General features: G+C 37.2%; 1 long non-coding RNA gene across 1 annotated transcript in view; it reads left to right on the forward strand.

The window, feature by feature from the left end:
- The window catches only part of LINC01707 (long intergenic non-protein coding RNA 1707), a 129,106-nt gene that overhangs the window by 18,360 nt on the left and 92,644 nt on the right, over positions 1–18,102 (forward strand). The window contains exons 2-3 of the long non-coding RNA NR_146608.1: positions 10,923–11,041; positions 14,258–14,305. This is a non-coding gene — a long non-coding RNA (long intergenic non-protein coding RNA 1707). The remainder of the gene's footprint in view (positions 1–10,922; positions 11,042–14,257; positions 14,306–18,102) is intronic.

Genomic DNA, 18,102 nt, shown 5'->3' on the forward strand with positions numbered 1-18,102 from the left:
GAACTCTCCAAACTGTTCCAACTCCTGGCTGTTACCCTGTTCCAAAGTTGCTGCCACATTTTCGGGTATCTTTCCAGTGGTGTGCCCCATTCTACTGGTACCAATTTACTGTATTAGTCCATTTTCATGCTGCTAATAAAGACATATCTGAGACTGGGCAATTTACAAAACAGAGAGGTTTATTGGACTCACAGTTCCACCTGGCTGGGGAGGCCTCACAATCATGGTGGAAGGTGAAAGGCACGTCTCACATGGTGGCAGACCGGAGAAGAAAGCTTGTGCAGGGAAAATCCCATTGTTAAAACCATCATATCTTGTGAGACTTATTCACTATCATGAGAACAGCACAGGAAAGACCCATCCCCATGAGTCAATTATCTCCCTCCAGGTCCCTCCTACAACACATGGGAATTGTGGGAGTTACAATGCAAGATGAGATTTGGGTGGGGACACAGCCAAACCATATCACCTTGGTTGCCAGTGCAGGATTCACATGCTGTTTTTGTTCTTCTTGGTGGGAGCTTCCAACTGCTGCTGCTTCTAGTTGGCCATCTTAACCCCACCCCTCTACAGTTTTCTTTAGAAACATAATTTTCCCTCTCCTCCTTCCCATTTCTACCAAAGACCAGTCACAATAGGAACAACTTATTTGAAAAATTTATTTTAGTCTTATTATACTTGGTGTGATTATTTTTATAGTAGTGTGCACAAATAATAGTTATTGGCTATACAGGCTCTTTTAAAATTGGCTTTGCTGTACTTTTTTTCATAAAGAATTTTAAGTTAGACTTTTAAAAGCCTCTTGAGCCAAGCCAAAAATTTATCTATGCCTGCAGATACCTGTATGAAATTGGTAAATTCCTCTCTTTTTGATGTTCTAAAATAACTTGGTGTTCCTGGGCCTGTCAGAAAGTGGCATTTCTTTACTTACTACAGGAATTTTGTAAAGAAATTATATTATATAAAGGAAGTATCAGAGCAGTCTTTTCAAGAATCCTTTTCTCACCTCTATAAAGTCAACCTTAATTCTTAAAAGTAGTCTGGTCATATCTGAAAATATGACATTTCAGCCAAAGCCTTGGTAAAATAACCAGTGTTTTCTATTGTGTCCTGTTTTAAAAGAGAACAAATACTTATTGAACTTATTCAAATAACTCTAATGCCATAAATTAAGAATATTCACACCTGGGTGATGGGATCATGTGTACCCCAAACCTCAGGGTTGCTCAGGTAAGAAACATGCACATGTAACCCCTGAATCTAAAGTCAAAGTTGAAAAAAATACTCAAAAATATTTTATTCTGGAGAAATCAGATGGAGAGAAAAAGATATGCTTTAAATTTTCCTTGCAAGAGTAAGTATACTTTGCCCAATTTGTTGTAAGTTATAAGTAGCCCAACAGAAAAAAATTCATGACTCTGGAAAATAAAATATAAAAAGAATCAGTATGTTTCACATTTTAAAAGTAAAAGAAAAGTTTAGTTCTCTATTATTTCAATCTCATGTAATTAACTGTTGTTCTGCTTGATGTTGGGTTAGGAATCCCCATGAACAAACCAGCTTTTTGATTAAAGTCTTGGAAGATTTTTTCCAAGCCCAAAGGTATAATCTCCAAAATTATCAGAAAACTGTACTCAACAGAACTTGTCAGAGTCCTTTCTATGATTTTCTTTAAAAAAGCAAATTTTTGACTGTGGCTGATTATAATCTATTTTTTGAGAAGAATCAAAGTAAAACAATAATTGCTTTGAACGACATTAGTCTTAGAACAATCATAATTAAAGACAAAATTGACAAGGAAATTGGGTTATTTCTGGGACACACAACAATTTACCATAATAATCATAATTATTAATCCTAACCTATAGTACGACATCAGAATTTTAGGAATTTCATGCAACTGTGGGACACATGGTAAAAACATGTTTTTATAAACATAACCCACAGAAAGTTAAACATCACTTTATATTTGGCAATGCTTCTTGTATAATTTTAATAGGCTGTTTATATCTCTTTTGGACTTTCACGGGCCCTAATATCCAAACTGTTAATTTGAGGTAAAAAAGATTAAATTTATAATTTGAAATACAATTTTGGAAAATTTGTCAAATATCAAAGGTCTAAAAACTTGATATCACAAAATAGTTTCACAGGTCACTGTAAAATAAGTCATTCATTTAGCCAATGTGATAATTCAAAGATTTCAAAAAGCAAAATCCTTTACTCTTTTATAGAGAGAAGACTTGGTTTCCCAAACAATCAAAATACATCAGAAGGCAAACTGAATCAATCTCTTCCTCTTTCCCTCTTTTTGTTTGTAGCTTACTCAAAAAGTAAACAAAAATATTTTATTTCTTATTATTATTACATGGAAATCTCTTTCCAAAGAGAAACCTAAATTTCACTTTTACATTCATGTATTATAATTCTAAAGTTAATTGTAATAAAACCTAATAAACAAATACATTCTTAATCAGTTTGAATACGAGGTAATATGGTTGTTTTATAAGGGGTGCTTCCTGCTTCACTCAGCACTTCTTCCTGCTGCCTGTGAGCAAAATGCCTTGCTTCCCTTTCACCGTCTGCCATGATTGTCAGTTTACTGAGGCCTCCCTAGTCATGCTGAACTGTGAGTCAATTAAACTTCTTTCCTTTGTAAATTACCCAGTTTCAGGTAGTTCTTTATAGCAGTATAAAAATGAACTAATACACAAGGTAAGATTACTATAAACCTTTCATAACGCTTTACAATATTTTCCATTCTCTTTTTTCAGCTTTCTATACATTGTTTTATTTATCATTCCTTTTAATTCATTTAAAACAACACTTAAAGCCTCTAACTTAGGCAAAAATGCTTTTCCTTTAACAAAAATCACATCATTATCATATCTTCTTATAATCTTTTCAAATCAAAAACACATCCTGCTTTTCTTATACACTTTGTATATAGAATTGTTTGTCTTATATCTAGTGCTTTTAATTATATACATTAGTTACAGTGTTAACTGTTAGTAACCCTTGTTTTTAGTGAAAAACTTAGACGCTAAATACTTTTAAAGATGCAGAACCCAGGACAAAGGCACAGAACTTAGATATAAACAAAGGTAAGCTTTGTTATGTAAACTTTAGGCCATTTTCTTCTCCATCCTAAAAGTTTGTAGAGGTTTAGGTGCACAGAGGGAGAATGCTCTCACAAATGGAGATTTTTGTTTATAGATGTAAATTGATTTTACAAAAGAGGTTCATAATAGCCAGATAAATGTCAGAAAGTTGTATTTTGGCTTTTTAACTTAGCTTATATCTTAATTACATTATTGGCTTCCAGGTGGAGCCCTTTCATGAGAAGAAAGAAAGTATGCAGTTTATAGTGCTAAAAATTTAAATGTGAAAAGCAGGCACAGGTGGAAGGTAGAACACAGGTCCCTCAAAATCAGGGATCCCATTTTTACATTAAACTCTGGGTCCCAAAAGTAGAGAAACACCATGGGACTAGAGAGTGCAATGCTTCCATGGAGTATCTCGCTGCAAGCACATTCCCATTCCCCAGAGGCTGGTGGGCAACTCACTGTTAGTCAGCCCACTCTGTAATCACCTCATTTCCCAGGAGTCTTATCCCTCAGGGGGGAGTGTTTCCATAACCTCTAAGGGTCTCCAGGTCAGCCTTTCCTTATCCAAATGCACAAAGAGACAAGCGGCCCCCTGTGGTAATAATCATTTATTGTCGACAACTGTCATTAGTCACTTCTAACACAGTGAATAGTTCTATTTTCCAAATATTTGTGAAACCAGCACTCTATCCCACTGACATTCTTTGAAAGTAGAATTTGGAAGAATATATTCTGAAGAAAGTTCCTAAAAGCATAACTTATACAGGAATCTATGAAGCAAACTAAGCAGAATGTATAATTGTGTTACATATAACATCCTCTTTTGTGACACTAAGTAATTGTTCCACCTTACCAGATCAACTGCAGCAGCACACAACATAACGCAGTCATTTCTTTCATTTAAAAAAGCAATAGGCCAGGTGTGGTGGCTTACGCCTTTATAATCCTAGCACTTTGGGAGGCTGAGGCAGGCAGATCACGAGGTCAGGAGGTCAAGACCAGCCTGGCCAACATGGTGAAATAAAAATTAGCTGGGCGTGGTAGCAGGCACCTGTAATCCCAGCTACTCAGGAGGCAGGCTGAGGTAGGAGAGTTACTTACCTGGAGGCAGAGGTTTCAGTGAGCTGAGATTGTGCCACTGCACTCCAGCCTAGGTGACAGAGCAAGACTCCAACTCAAAAAATATATATAATAATAAAATAAAATAGAAATCTCTTTATTGACTGCACTCAATTACCATCCCAGTTTTCTGACCCCCTGTTCTGCTCATCTCATTTAAAAAGTTGTCCGCATGTGCTGTGTTTTGTGCTGAATTCTGTATCCCCTCTAAATTCATATATGGAATCCCTGACTCCCTCGTACCACAGAACGTGACTACGTTTGGAGATAGGGCCTTGATTAAGTTAAAGCAAGGCCACTGGGGGGGCCCTAATCAAATCTGACTAGTGTCCTTAAAGAAGAGGAAATTTGAACCCACAGAGAGACACTAGGGGAACGGGCACAGAGGAAAGACCACATGAAGATACCATGAGAAGGCAGCCCCCTGCAAGCCAAGGAGAAAGTCCTCAGGAGAAACCGGACCTGCCAACACCTTGATCTTTGGACTTTAAGCCTCCACAATGGAGAGGAAATATATTTCTGTTCTTTTAACCCAGCAGTCTGTGATATTTTTTTATAGTCACCCTAGCTGCCTCCAATTCGTCTCTTCCATTTCCTCTTGAGCCTACTCCACTCAGGTTTTTCCCAACATAGCTCTTCCGAAATGACACATAAGGACACCACACAGCATGTGATATAGTTGATTACTCTTTCTTCCTTAGAAACCACTTTTCACTTGGCTTCTAGGACACCAAACTCTTCTGGATTTCCTCCTACTTCCCTGACCACACCTTCTCGGTCTTCATTCAGATTTTTCCTTGTCCCCCTAATCTCTTGAACAACCCTCCCACCCTGGGGTTCCCTACTCCACTTTTCTTCTTCTGCTGTCTCTGCCCATTATTATCTAGCTTGCATACTTATTATTATTGTCTGATTTCAACACAAGAAGGTGAGGATTTTTTGTCTGTTTTATCCACTGATAGATTACCACCTAGAACAGTTCCTGGCACATATTAAGTAAGCACAATAAATGCTTTTTGAATGAATAAATTAGATGACATCAATTGAAACACTAAGAAAATGGTATTTTGTTTAGTCTAGGGTCCTGCTTTTCTCATTAAGTTCTCTTCTGATGAACTTTTCTTGTGTTTCTTTGTTTGGAAGCAGGAGAGGTTTATTTCAGTAACATTTCTGAAGTTCTAGGATAGTCTAGTGTCAAGAGCATGGGCTCCAAACCTGGATGTTGTACTTTCACTGGTTGTGATACTATGAGTACACTCTTTAACCTTTCTGTGCCTGTCAACTCAAATTTGAACAAAAGCTAGTAATTATTTCTCTCCATAGGGTTATCATGAAGGTTAAGTGAGAGAATGAATATGTAACACAGAGCCTCTTGCCTTGCAAGCCCTCAGTGTTATCTTCCATCATTGATACGATTAGAATATCTGTAGCAAAAATACATCAGTTTCTTGAATAGAGGAATCTTGGCTTTTCTTTCTTTTTTTTCCCCCACCAGTTGCTATTATTGTAATCTGCATAACGAAGCCACTCAGAAATTCTCCCCAATAACCTCTAAGTAACCCCCTAACTACCTAGGAGTAAGGAGACATCGGAGCCCCAAAGGTACAGACATCTGTATAGAAGAGTGCCAGCACTCATTTTTATTTCTCTATTCAAAGCTTCACATGATGTCCAAAATATCTCTTGTAATTCTGTGCAAAAAGATGGAAGACAATCTGGGATCCTCTTCAAATTTAAGAGTTATGAGTCAATAAAATTATTTTTTGATTTGGAAGTGCAGTGTATATGTGTGTATGTATATATATATGTATTATATATGTGTGTATGTGTGTGTGTTTATCTATCACACACACACAGAGAGATAGAGAGAGAGAGAGTCTCACTCTGTCACCTAGGCTGGAGTGCAGTGGCCCAATCATGGCTCTCTGTAGCCTCGGTCCTTCCCCCAAGGGTCAGGTGATCCTCCTAACTCTGCCTCCTGAGTAGCTGGGACCACAGGTGTGCACCATCACTCCTGGCTAAGTTTTTTATTGTTATTTTTAGAGACGGGATCTCCCTATGTTGTTCAGGCTGGTGTCAAGCTCCTGGGTCCCACCTTGGCTTCCCAAAGTGTTGGGATTCCAGGCGTGAGCCACCATGCCCAGCCTGAAGTGCAGTATAACATAGTTAAATAATGAGAGCATATAACGTAGAAATTGTGACGGTGTTTATATCTTTATTCATTTGAGGAGGAAGATAGTGTAAGTAGGAAGAAAGGTGTTTTAAGCTCACACTATAAGATGGACTTTAAAGAATTTTTTTATTTGCAGCACTTTCTCCTGTTTGCAGCAGAAAGCAGAGGGGTCGTTCACGTGGCTATGGATCAGAGTTTGAAGTGTCCCAAAGAAAGAGGCTTCAGCATTAAACACAGAGACAAAAAAACCCCAACACAGGTTGTTAACATGTGCAAGAAGCCTACATTTTTCAGCGGGCTTTGGAGGGAGCAAATCTCTGTGACACTGATAATAAATATACTGTTGAAAATGCACATTAGGTATTGAAATAAGGAAAGGCCGGACATTTTGCAAATTTTAAAAAGGAAATTACAGGCAAATAGGCAAGCAAGTGTAAAGCAGGACCCAGTTAGCATAACAAGTGGTTTAGTACAGTTGGAACATAGTGTGGGGGTGAGGTTTTCAATATGCTTTTGTTTTTAAGATAATTTTTAGATTATTGCAATTACTAGCTCTCCCCAGTCTTGTAAGCCAAAAGTGGACCAGAGTTTTCCTTTTCCTGGTATTGCATGAGAGATTTTGGACATTACAGTGCAAAACTCTAATAAGGAAATGGATTAAAGTTGCAAGAAGGGTTTAAGCTCAGCTTTGGTAAATGGTATAGTATAAAACCTGACAGATGGGCTTCGAGTTCAGGAAAACTAGGTTCATATTTCAGCTCTGTGACTTGCTAACAGGATGATCTTAGGCAAGCCTAAATTCTATTTTACATAATGTAGAGATATTGCCTTCCTCACAAGATGGTTGTTGGGACTAAATAAAATTATGTATGGAAAGTATTTAGCACAGCACATGCCATGTAATTAATGTTTGGTAAGGGTAAATGATGACATTAATATTGACAACAGCCATGATTGAAATAGACCTAGAAGGGAGATATTGGGAAAAAAACTGTTTGCTTCAGAGAACGGACAAAACAGGCAAAAATTTAAATAAACCATATTAGTTTCTACATTATGCTGAGCGATAAGAACCTCAAAGCTTCACAAGCAAGAATGTGCTGGAATACTGGAACTTCTTGCATAATAGAAGGGAACCGGAGCTTGAGAGAGTAAGACAATGTAATCAACTTTCTGCCTTTGTACTTGGCACGTAGCTCACTTAAGAATGCTTTTCTCTCATCAAATGGCCAGCTAGTGTCAAAAGATCAGTGCTAATCTCAGTGAACTCCAACATGCTTGATTCTAGAACTTTAGAATGCCACAATATTCACTTACTGGGTGAGGCCAATAACAGAGAGAGAAATAGTCTCAATGGATTGTCAAGAATGAAAAAAGAAAATGTTTATTTTTAAAAGTCCTTTTGGCCTTAAAAAATGTGTTTCTTTTGCAGTGTTATTTCAGTTCTGTAGTGCTAGTCAGGTCTTATACTAGAAAGGATGTACAAATGCTGTCATAGGAAAATTCCTGCTGCTCTTTGTTCTAAATTTCACCATCACCCTTTAAGACTGTGCCCCCCATGGAAATGTTATATAAGGCCATCATTTTTCCTGAATTGTTTATTAAAACAATTTTTGAAATGGTTGAAGATTTTTATCTATGTTACCATCATCAATACCATGTCGATAAAATATTTTCCTGCTGATCTTCTCAGGCTCTAAAGAAAAGCTTTCTATCCCATAATATGCTCTGACTTCTGAGATGATTACATTTTATGCTGGCTCATGGTATAAACTTTCAAAGCCGCCAGCTGAGTTGTCATTGTAGTACAGCTGATTCCTTGATTGATATACAGTGTCTGAGATGTCTTTGTTCTCCCGACTTCCCACTGGTTAACAGATTACAGATCAGAATAAAAGAAAAGAGTGTAACAACCAAAGGAACACTGGGGTCTCTAATGATATCAGAGGTTACCTTCTCTTTAAGAGAGGATTTGTTACTTTAAAATGATTGGATCAACCTAATATGTCATGCTGGGCAAGTCAACTCAACTAAAGACGGGGCTTTGGAAAGCTTTCTTCCTGATCTGGGAGTTCATCTAATTTTTGGCTACAGAAAATCTATGTCTTGAGAAATTAGATGTCTGGAACGATCTTTAACCTTAGTGGGTGGCTTTTTTGGTTGTTGTTGGAGTGCTGCACAATTGTGAGGAAAAATACAATTTTCCTTATAACGCATGGAAATAAAGGTCTTTTTAAAATTATGACTTCATTATGTAATAGGAATGCTGGCCTATTAGTTTGCAGAAAAGAGATAATACTTTCCATTTGCTCTGAGAAAATTGTGGCTGTTTTGTTTTCTTTTCTTCCACAATGAAAGAAAATTGACATATTGAGACATTCTTTGGAAAGCATATAGGACATCCAGAGTCAGCTTCCATTCTGTGTATACTCAAACTATCAAAATATTCAGAACTAAGCCTTGATCAGTTAACTAATTTTTCTGTTTTAGAAACTTCTCTGAATCCATTATTATGTAAAACAAATAAAATTGGTTTTTCTTTCAAAGATAAATATCCACTGTGCTTCAATACTTATCAGGGTTATGACTTCCTAGCTGCCTATTTACCATTTTTCTACAGAAATAGAAACTCTGCCTCCTCCCTCCCCCATCTTCTCCATGGTGCAATAGCCAGGTGAGTTTGAGAGGTAAACGCTTTAGATTTAAAATCACTTTGCTGAATCTCATCTGTGAGCTTTTACTCCTAATGAAATGCACTGATAGATCTTACACACTTGTCTCATGCAACAGCTATTTGGTGAAAGAAGTCAGCATGCAGATGTATCCTCTAACAAGGAAAACTAAGACAAACCATATCATATTGTATTTGAATCGGTGTAGGCTGAGATCACCACAGAGAAAATGTATAGTCTATTTCAAACAGCCAAGGAGGAGAGTTTGAAACAAAAATCATTAGGCTGAACAGCATTCTGCTTGACAGTAAAATTTGAGTTGTTGTTTTATATCTATGAAAGATCTTTTTTTTTTTAAGAAAACTTTTAAGTTCAGTGGTACAAGTGCAGGTTTGTTACATAGATAAACTTGTGTCACGGGGGTTTGTTGTACAGATTATTCCAGATATTAGCCCTAGTACCCATTAGTTATTTTTCCTGATCCTCTCCCTTTTCCCACCCTCCCCCACAAAAGGCCCCAGTGTGTGTTGTTTCTGTCTATGTGTCCATGTGTTTTCATCATTTAGCTCCCACTTATAAGTGAGAACATGTGATATTTGGTTTTCTGTTCCTGTGTTGGTTTGCTAAGGATAATGGCCTCCAGCTCCATCCATGTTCCTGTAAAGGACATGATCTCATTCTTCTTTATGGCTGCATAGTATGCCATGGTGTCTATGTAACACATTATCTTTATCAGGTCTATTATTGATGGACACTAAGGTTGACTCCATGTCTTTGCTATTATGAGTAGTGCTGCAGTGAACATACATGTGCATGTATCTTTATAATAGAACACGAACAACAGTCAAGCTGAGAACCAAATCTGGAATGAACTCCCATTCACAATTCCCACAAAAGAATAAAATATCTAGGAATACAGACAACTAGGGAGGTGAAAGATTTCTACAAGGAGAACTACAAACCACTGCTCAAAGAAATCAGAGATGACAAAAACAAATGGAAAAACATCCCCTGCTCATGGATAGAAAGAATCAGTATCATGAAAATGGCCATACTGCCCAAAAAATTTATAGATTCAATGCTATTTCTATTAAATTACTATTGACATTCTTCAAAGAACTAGAGAAAACTATTTTAAAATTCATATAGAACCAATAAAGGGGCTGAATAGCCAAGGCAATCCTAAGCAAAAAGAACAAAGCTGGAGGCATCACATTACCCAACTTCAAACTATACTACAGGGCTACAGTAACCAAAACTGCATTGTGTTGGTACAAAAACAGATACATCAACCAATGAAACAGAATACAGCATGATCTTATTTCATCAGACAGTTTCACCTTGCTCTATTCAGTCCCATTGTGCTAGGCTTAGGGACTTCAGTCCCAGTGAAGGAAATTAGAATATGTCACCCCAAAATATACCTCTTTAACATAGAGAAGGTAACCTCTAATTTTTTAACTAAAGGCAGTTAAGAAGCAGCAAAGGGAGAGAAGCTCTCTCTATCCTCCTTTTCTGCCTGAAGACAGGATATAAATTATCTTTTACTGGAGACAGTTCTTATCAGCCCAGAGATGGCACCAGAGGAATATGCAAACAAGCCTTGCTCTATTAGTTTATTTTCATAAATTTACCTTCCCACAGTTTCCCACCTCTGGAAGCCTTAAACTGTTTTCCTTTGTCCTGTTACTTCTCTAAAATTTATTGTTCTTTGCTGAAGGTCTTATATAAGCCAGGTTTTTAAGCCAGTGCTTTGAGTCACCTTTCATTGAAGTTTCTTCTGTATGAAGTGCACTGCATGTATTTGTAAACCTACTTGTTTTTCTCCTGTTAATCTGTCTTTTGTTACAGGAGTCAGTCCCAACTACAAATTTAAGAGGATCACAGAAACACCCACAAACTTACGAGGATCACAGAAAACACCCCTACACCAACTTATAGCCAATCTATTCAACCTGCATTGTTAGCAGGTAAGACTGTTTGTTCAGGGGCTACTTATAATAGTAGAAAACACTTTGTTTTCTTAAAAGCAGACCTGAGAGGCTCTGACTCCTTCAAATATACTGATCTCCTTCCAATAGGCAATGTGCTGGTCTTATTTGTGGGAGAGATATGCAGCTGATCCTTCTGATCCATTTAACCAACAGTGGAAAAAAAAAATCATGGCTGGAATTGTTCTTTTACCTTGGAAACAAAAGTTTCACAGAGCTAGTGGGCATGATGGCTGTGACAAATAGCTATTGGTAGGATAGTATGGAGCCAGCACATGGATATTTCAGAATAGCCACTCTAGTCGAGGAGGCAGAACAGCAAGGCATAAGGTAAAGTGAGCTTGGAGGAAAGCATCTTTAGTAAGAAAAGCCTTTCCCTGGTTCTACTGGCCCCTCTGGGATATGATTCCTATGATAAACAATATGCTCTGTTAATTCTTTTGCCCTGTGTGTCTCATGTAAATAACAGTGTCATTTATAGAATGCCTAACCATGGTGCCTAAACAGGCACTGCATACGTTCATTTAAAGTCCCTTCTATCAGATATTTCTATCATATCCTTCCTGTTTTACAGATGAAAACTATGAGACTCAAGAGATTAAGTAACTTTCCCCAATTCACACAGCTAGTGCATATGTATTAGGATTCAAATCCACATGTATCTGATTCCTGTATTTTAATTACAATACAAAGCTGTCCCATTTCCTTTCTGCTTTGGCTATTCTCTTTCCTAATAATTCTCAGGTTTGATTGTCAAGTTACTATCCAAGAGCAGAATTCTTTCTGGAGCCTCCTCACTAAAGTTCTCTGTACTTGTGGATCATTAAGACAAGGACACCAACTGAGAACTGTTACTAATTGCTTGACCACAGGTTCCAATGCAAAGTGGCAATGCTGATGGACCTCTGTAGAAATGGATTTTTTTAAAGTAACTTTGGGCAAATAAATAGTATTAACTCTGTGACACTGACTGAGCTTAAATTAGTCTCAAGCATAATGTTTAATGAAAAACAGAGACACAAAGATACTATCTGATTTTTTTTAAGTGGACCCACTGCTGGATCTGTTTTAGGTCTAGGCACATGCTTAGAGCTCTGAGAGCTGTAGTTATAAATGTCTTATATTTACAGCATAGCATGATATACTTGCAGTATTCTATACTGGAATAGATCTTAAATTATTGATGTTTGGTGATCATACACATTCCAAGCCTCATAGGCCTTAGGCCAGGACATTGATGTTATGTGTTCCTATTATACTGTTTATAATAGGAAATACAGTATTTTTCCGATTTTAAAGTCTCAAAGCAACAATGAGAGGAATCTAAGAAGATGAGCAAGAGAGGAGTTGAAGACACTAATTAGCTGAGAATAGAGGGTATCTGTGAAGTCTGTCTCCAGCCATGAATCCCCTGCCTACGGTTCCTTCTTGCTCCAGTACAGCCCCCTTTGAAGCTGCTAAGGAGCAGACCCTATGCCTAGGAAAGCAGGACTTCAGGTCTTTTGAATTTAAAAACTTACTCTGGTTGCTTTTACTGGCAGCATTCACTTTTTGGTTGAGTAAGAGCAAGGCACTGATGGAGAGGAGAACATTAAGAAATATAAAATATAATCTCTAACCCAAGAAACCCAGTCAAGGTGGGGAGTGGGAGAATGTTTTACATATGTATAGTGTTTAACAGAAGCACTTGTAAAATGTTGAGTGCCAGAGTTGTGGGGTGAAATTTCAGAGGAAGGGTAAAGCATGTGATCTCACACGCTATGTTCTAGCCACAATAATAGCTCATAGGTATAAGATAATTTTCCAGAGGTCCTATGAGTGTGTGTGTGTGTGTGTGTGTGTGTGTGTGTGTAACTTTTTCCCATCAACCCAACAATGCTAAGCTCTAAGCTCTAGGTTTAAAATATCTGGTTTTGAAATGCACTTTCACCACCTTGTAGCTGAATTGTGTTGTCTACATTTTTTTGTGCCACTATCTCCTTATCTGTTTTAAAAAAAATACTAATTTTAAAAAGCCTTATTGTATTAAATGTGAGGAGTAAATGAAATAATTTATATAAAGATCTCAGTGTAGAGCTTGGCACATGGAAGATTCAGTAAATAATACTGTGGCAGATATTGTTGATTGCTTACTTAATATTCATTCACTCCTTCTTTGCTGACAAAACTCCAGATTGGGGAGCAATGTGCCCAGATAGACGCTCATATTTCAGTTTCCCTTGAGCCAACAGTAGCCACACAACTTCATGGCTTGGTTCTGTGTCCTTCATTGCTTGGTTCTGTGTGCAGCTGTGCTTAACACATGGTAGATGGAAGTCTCCTGAATGTTTTGGGGGAGGGTTTGCTTTCCTATTAAAAGGGGATATATCTGCCTGGCATCATCCCTTTCTCATTTTTCTTTCCTTGAATGTGGATCTAATGTCAGGAGCTGAAGCTACCATATGTGACCCAAGCATTGGGGCTCAGAAAATGATAACACAAAGTATGGCACTTTGGCATGCTGAGTACTTTGAACTAAAGGAGATGGGAAAGCCTCAAAAGCAAAATCTCTCTCTGACCTTCTCCTGCTCTCTTTCTCTCCTGAAGTGAGTCGTAGAATTCCTCTTGCCTAGAGTGGGTCATAGAAACTAGAACCCTTTCCCCAAAGCAAGCCATTAAACTTAGAAAGGTCACTCTTTTCTCTTCTCCCTTAAAGAACCTCATATCAGAGGGGTCCTGGCCCATATCTAGGAGGAAGGAATTCTACAGAAACCCAGAAGAATCTGAACAGACAGGACTTACTGGGTTTTCCTCTGTCTTTTACCACTCAATCACCCTTTTTGTCTAATCACATTTCAACATGGATGTCCACTCTTCATCAAACCTAAGCATAAAAGTAGTTTTCCCTGGGTCTTTTGGTCTTCATTTCTGAAGGCTCCTGTGTCACATAAAACTTTGATTAAACAAATTTGTCATGCTTTTCTCTTGTTAACCTATCTTTTATTATAGGAGGATCAAACGTAACACTTACAATGGGTGAGTAAGTGCTACGTTTGCTCCTCCTATAATATCAAGTTATCACACCCCTTTCCTGCCCCTACAGTTTCTGGTGCCCAATGTGGGGTCATTGAAACACCTCACACCAGATCTTGGGACAACTAACAAAAAATCAACAACAACAACAACAACAACACACATTTTTTTTTTTAAACCAAGGTCACCTCTCCTGGATCTCTGCCTGTAGTGCCCAATTAAGAATGGAAGGTAAGCATTTGTTTTTATCCCTTCCTTCCCAAATTCAGATTAGCAGGAAGAAATCATTTGTTTGGATTGTGTCTTTTGTGTAAATTTGGTTTGGAAGTACATATTTGTTATTGATCTTTTCCTTTCCGGGGACATCCATTTCTTTCCTATTTGTCTTGTTCTGTGTCCTGAAGGTTTGGTTTTATGATCAGTGAGAATATTCTCTCTGGTCTCTACCAGCTGGGGGATGCAAGTGTCAGCTTACATCAGGCAGCCAGTCCAAATGTTTTTTTTTTTTTGTCATGTAGTGTCAGCTCTCAGGGGAATTTGTCTTATTAGAGGTTCCAATTCATGAGAGGCCTGTTTTTTTTTTGTTTTTCTTTTTTTTTTTTTGTTTTTTTTTTTTTGGTCTCAGCCTTCATTGCTTAGTTCTGTGGCAACAAAGGTCTTTTTTTCTTTTGACTGTCTTTTGCGGATGATTCTGGATCTTGGGAGGACTACATCTTTTTGCACCCTCTTTTCAGGACATCTCTTTCATCCTTGGTTAAGTCATAAAAGACTGACTGATTTTGGTTCTGAGTCACTTGGTTGGGGCCTCAGTTTAAAAGCAGAAAAAAAAAAGCCACAAGTAGTTCAAGCAGTTGCTGTTTGTTCTGGCTGAAATCTGAAAATAAAATATTTGAAAAGTTTTTTTGTTTTGTTTTTTTCTTCAATGAATTCTGTGGTCAGAAGTCTGATTAATTGAAAGCTGATATTCAGGCTTTACTTTTTTTAAGGCCTCTGTGTTCTCACTATTGGATATTGCTTCTTCCATGGGAACTTAGTTGACTGAAACTCCTCTTGTTGAATCCCTGCTAACTATATGCTCAGCCCTTCTGTTTTCTTTCTTGCTGGCAAGATTTTTTTGCTGAGGAGAATGTAGAATATCATTGGTTTTTTAGGGGGATGGGGAAGGGGACTCAAAATCTTCTTAAACTGGCTTCTCTAAGACCCCTTCTTAGAAGGACTCTGGTTTCTGTGGCCAGACTTTAGTTAGGCTTCTAAACCTTCTCCTAGGTCCATCTGTATATGTCCTTGTAAAATCCTGTAGTAAATTCCCATAATTTTATGTTACCTCAGCATTCATTTTGAATCTTCCTCTGTGTCTCACTTAATTGACATACCTGAGCCTAATGAGCCTCCCAGTTGGGGCTCTACCATAGAGTGGCTATCTTGATAAGCCCATCTCTCTCACTAGAGAGTGTCTATAAACACTCTCTAGTGAGAACTTCAGACAAAAATCGAGAAAAATGCAACAAATTCAGTTGTAACAGAAATGGATAACTCGTCCACTCAGGTGGGTCTTTGAAGACATTTAAACAGCTGTAAGATGTCTCCTCAGGCACTAGCTTACAATCTAGTTCATAGTCTCCATAAGATCGGTCTCTGATAGTAGGCTTTCTCTGTGCCTTTGATTCGTAAATTTTCTACACTCTTCTCTAGAACTTGATAGTTACCCTTTGCAATAAAAACTTCAGGGAGATGACTTTCATAGAAAAGAGAAAAAAATAAACTATTTGGAAACTGGTCAAATGAAAACTCTTAAAAGCCTTCTCCAGAAAAATTGGTAAAAAGCTGTAGTCATTTGAGAAGATAGCCTTACCTTACCCATTTGACAGATCCAGCTAGTGAGCTTTAAATTATTGAACCTGGCATGTGGCTAAAAGTTATAGAATAGAAACTGTAAAATCTGCTCTGTCTGTATGTTTATATCATTAAATCTAATACAGACATACATTTTTGCCTGGGTTTTTGGTACAGACAGGTTTGTATTGTCTCTGTTAGATGTTTAAGATTATAAAACTAGAAATCTAGCCTAAAAGCAGAATGCACAGTAAAACATGAATTAATTGCTTGATGCATGTCAGTTTCTAAAAAAAAAAAAAAAATAGAGGAGATAACATGTTTAGCTTTTTAGTTTGTGTCTGTGATTTTTTGATACTTCTCTGATTTGTCAACAAAAAAGATAAGATAGTGGTTAGCTTTATTTACTGTGTTATAAAATTTTCATACACAGTTCAAGCATAATTCTTAAAGATGAATGAATTAGATGAATGTGAGATAAAAGTCTATGAGTAAAATTTTCAATATAATTATGCTTTATAACATATGTCTACTTAAGAATATCTTCAAAAATCTTTTTTGGTAACTTAAAACCTTAATGTGAGATTAAGTAATATGTACTTGCTATATGCCTCAGTAAGGTAAAATACTAAAACATTAAGTACTAAGCATAAGTTTAAGTTTAAATATTTTAGCATCCTGTTTTTATATGTCATAGAGAGCTACATATATCTGAGTCTGGTAATAAGCATGAAAAACTGAGGAAACATCTTTCTGGAAATTATAAAATGGTAAATGCTGATGTAAGCCAATTTACAATGCTTGCTAGTTTTCATTAGAAATTAAGGTTACTAGAGTTAAAGATTATAATTAGCATATGTTATTAAGCTACTAGAAATTACAAGCATACCTTGGAGACGTTGCAGGTTTGGTTCCAGATCATTGCAATAAAGTGAATACTGCAATAAAGTGAGTCATACATACTTTTGATTTCCCAGTGTAATAGGAGTTATTAAGAAATTATTTTAGGCAAATAAAGAGGAAAAGGGGTCCTTGGGAAGTTTTTGTTTCTTTTAAGCAGCTCCAGAAACATTTTTTGCCTAGCAGGAAAGCCCTGGTTCTTAAAGCTCGGTCAGCAAACTTTGATATGCAAATGGGCCCCTTAGAAACTGGGTCCACCAAAACATGTCAATTCCTGGCAACTTCTTCCTTGCCCCCACATGTGCCTGGCAACATGGTTGCCCCCACATATCCCCACGTGTGTAGAACATCATGGTGCTGTGCATTTGCATATTGAAAGGCTAGGGTGGAAGGGCTAGGTTTTTCACAGCTCCATAAATGACCTGCCTGGTCAAAGCAGCCCCTGAGCCCTATGCAAATCAGACACCACCTCCTCCAGCCTTCTCATATAAGCAGCCACTTTTCCGCTGCACAGGGGAGTTTCCTCTCTTGGCTTTGGAGCCCTCCCTCCCTCTGTCTCTGTGTCGGGGAGTTTCTTCCTTCTTTCTCGTCTATTAAACTTCCCGCTCCTTAAAACCACTCCATGTGTCTCCGTGTCATTTTATCAAAATTGGGATGAGACTAAGGACCCTGATATTCCTCCAGTCATCGGAGTCATATCACTAGTGCATATAAAAGTCATGTTTATACGATATTGTAGTCCATTAAGTGTTCAATGCATTATGTTGAAAAAAAAATTGTACTTGCCTTAATTTAAAAATACTTCCTTTGCTAAAAAAATGCTGACAAAAACAAAGTGAGCACATGCTATTGAAAAAATGATGCAAATAGACTCACTCAACTTAGAGTTGCCACAAATTGTCAATTTATTTAAAAATGCAATATCTGCAAAGCACAATAAAATGAAGAGCAACAAAATGAGATATGGCTGTATAGAGAAACAACTCTGTATGTGAAGAAAATAGATGTTTTGATAAAGAAAGGTACAAAAGTATTTTTTTTTAAAAAAAAAAGCTTATGGATATAACAAAAAGTTATAAAAGGTTTGTAAAAATTTTACCTTGTGTTATCAGTCAAAGATGACTGAGACTGGATAAATTTATTCATCAGGTTTTATTAAAATTAGCTATATTACCCTGATCTAACTAGAATTTCTTTTTCTTAGTTTAAAATCATGACGTTTTCTTGGAGTATTGGTCTGAGAATGTGAAGGGGTTTTTTTTTTTTCTCCTTTTAAATAATTTGTTAGGAAACAA

The sequence above is a fragment of the Homo sapiens genome, chromosome 1, assembly GCF_000001405.40.
Source record: "Homo sapiens chromosome 1, GRCh38.p14 Primary Assembly".
Taxonomy (NCBI): domain Eukaryota; kingdom Metazoa; phylum Chordata; class Mammalia; order Primates; family Hominidae; genus Homo; species Homo sapiens.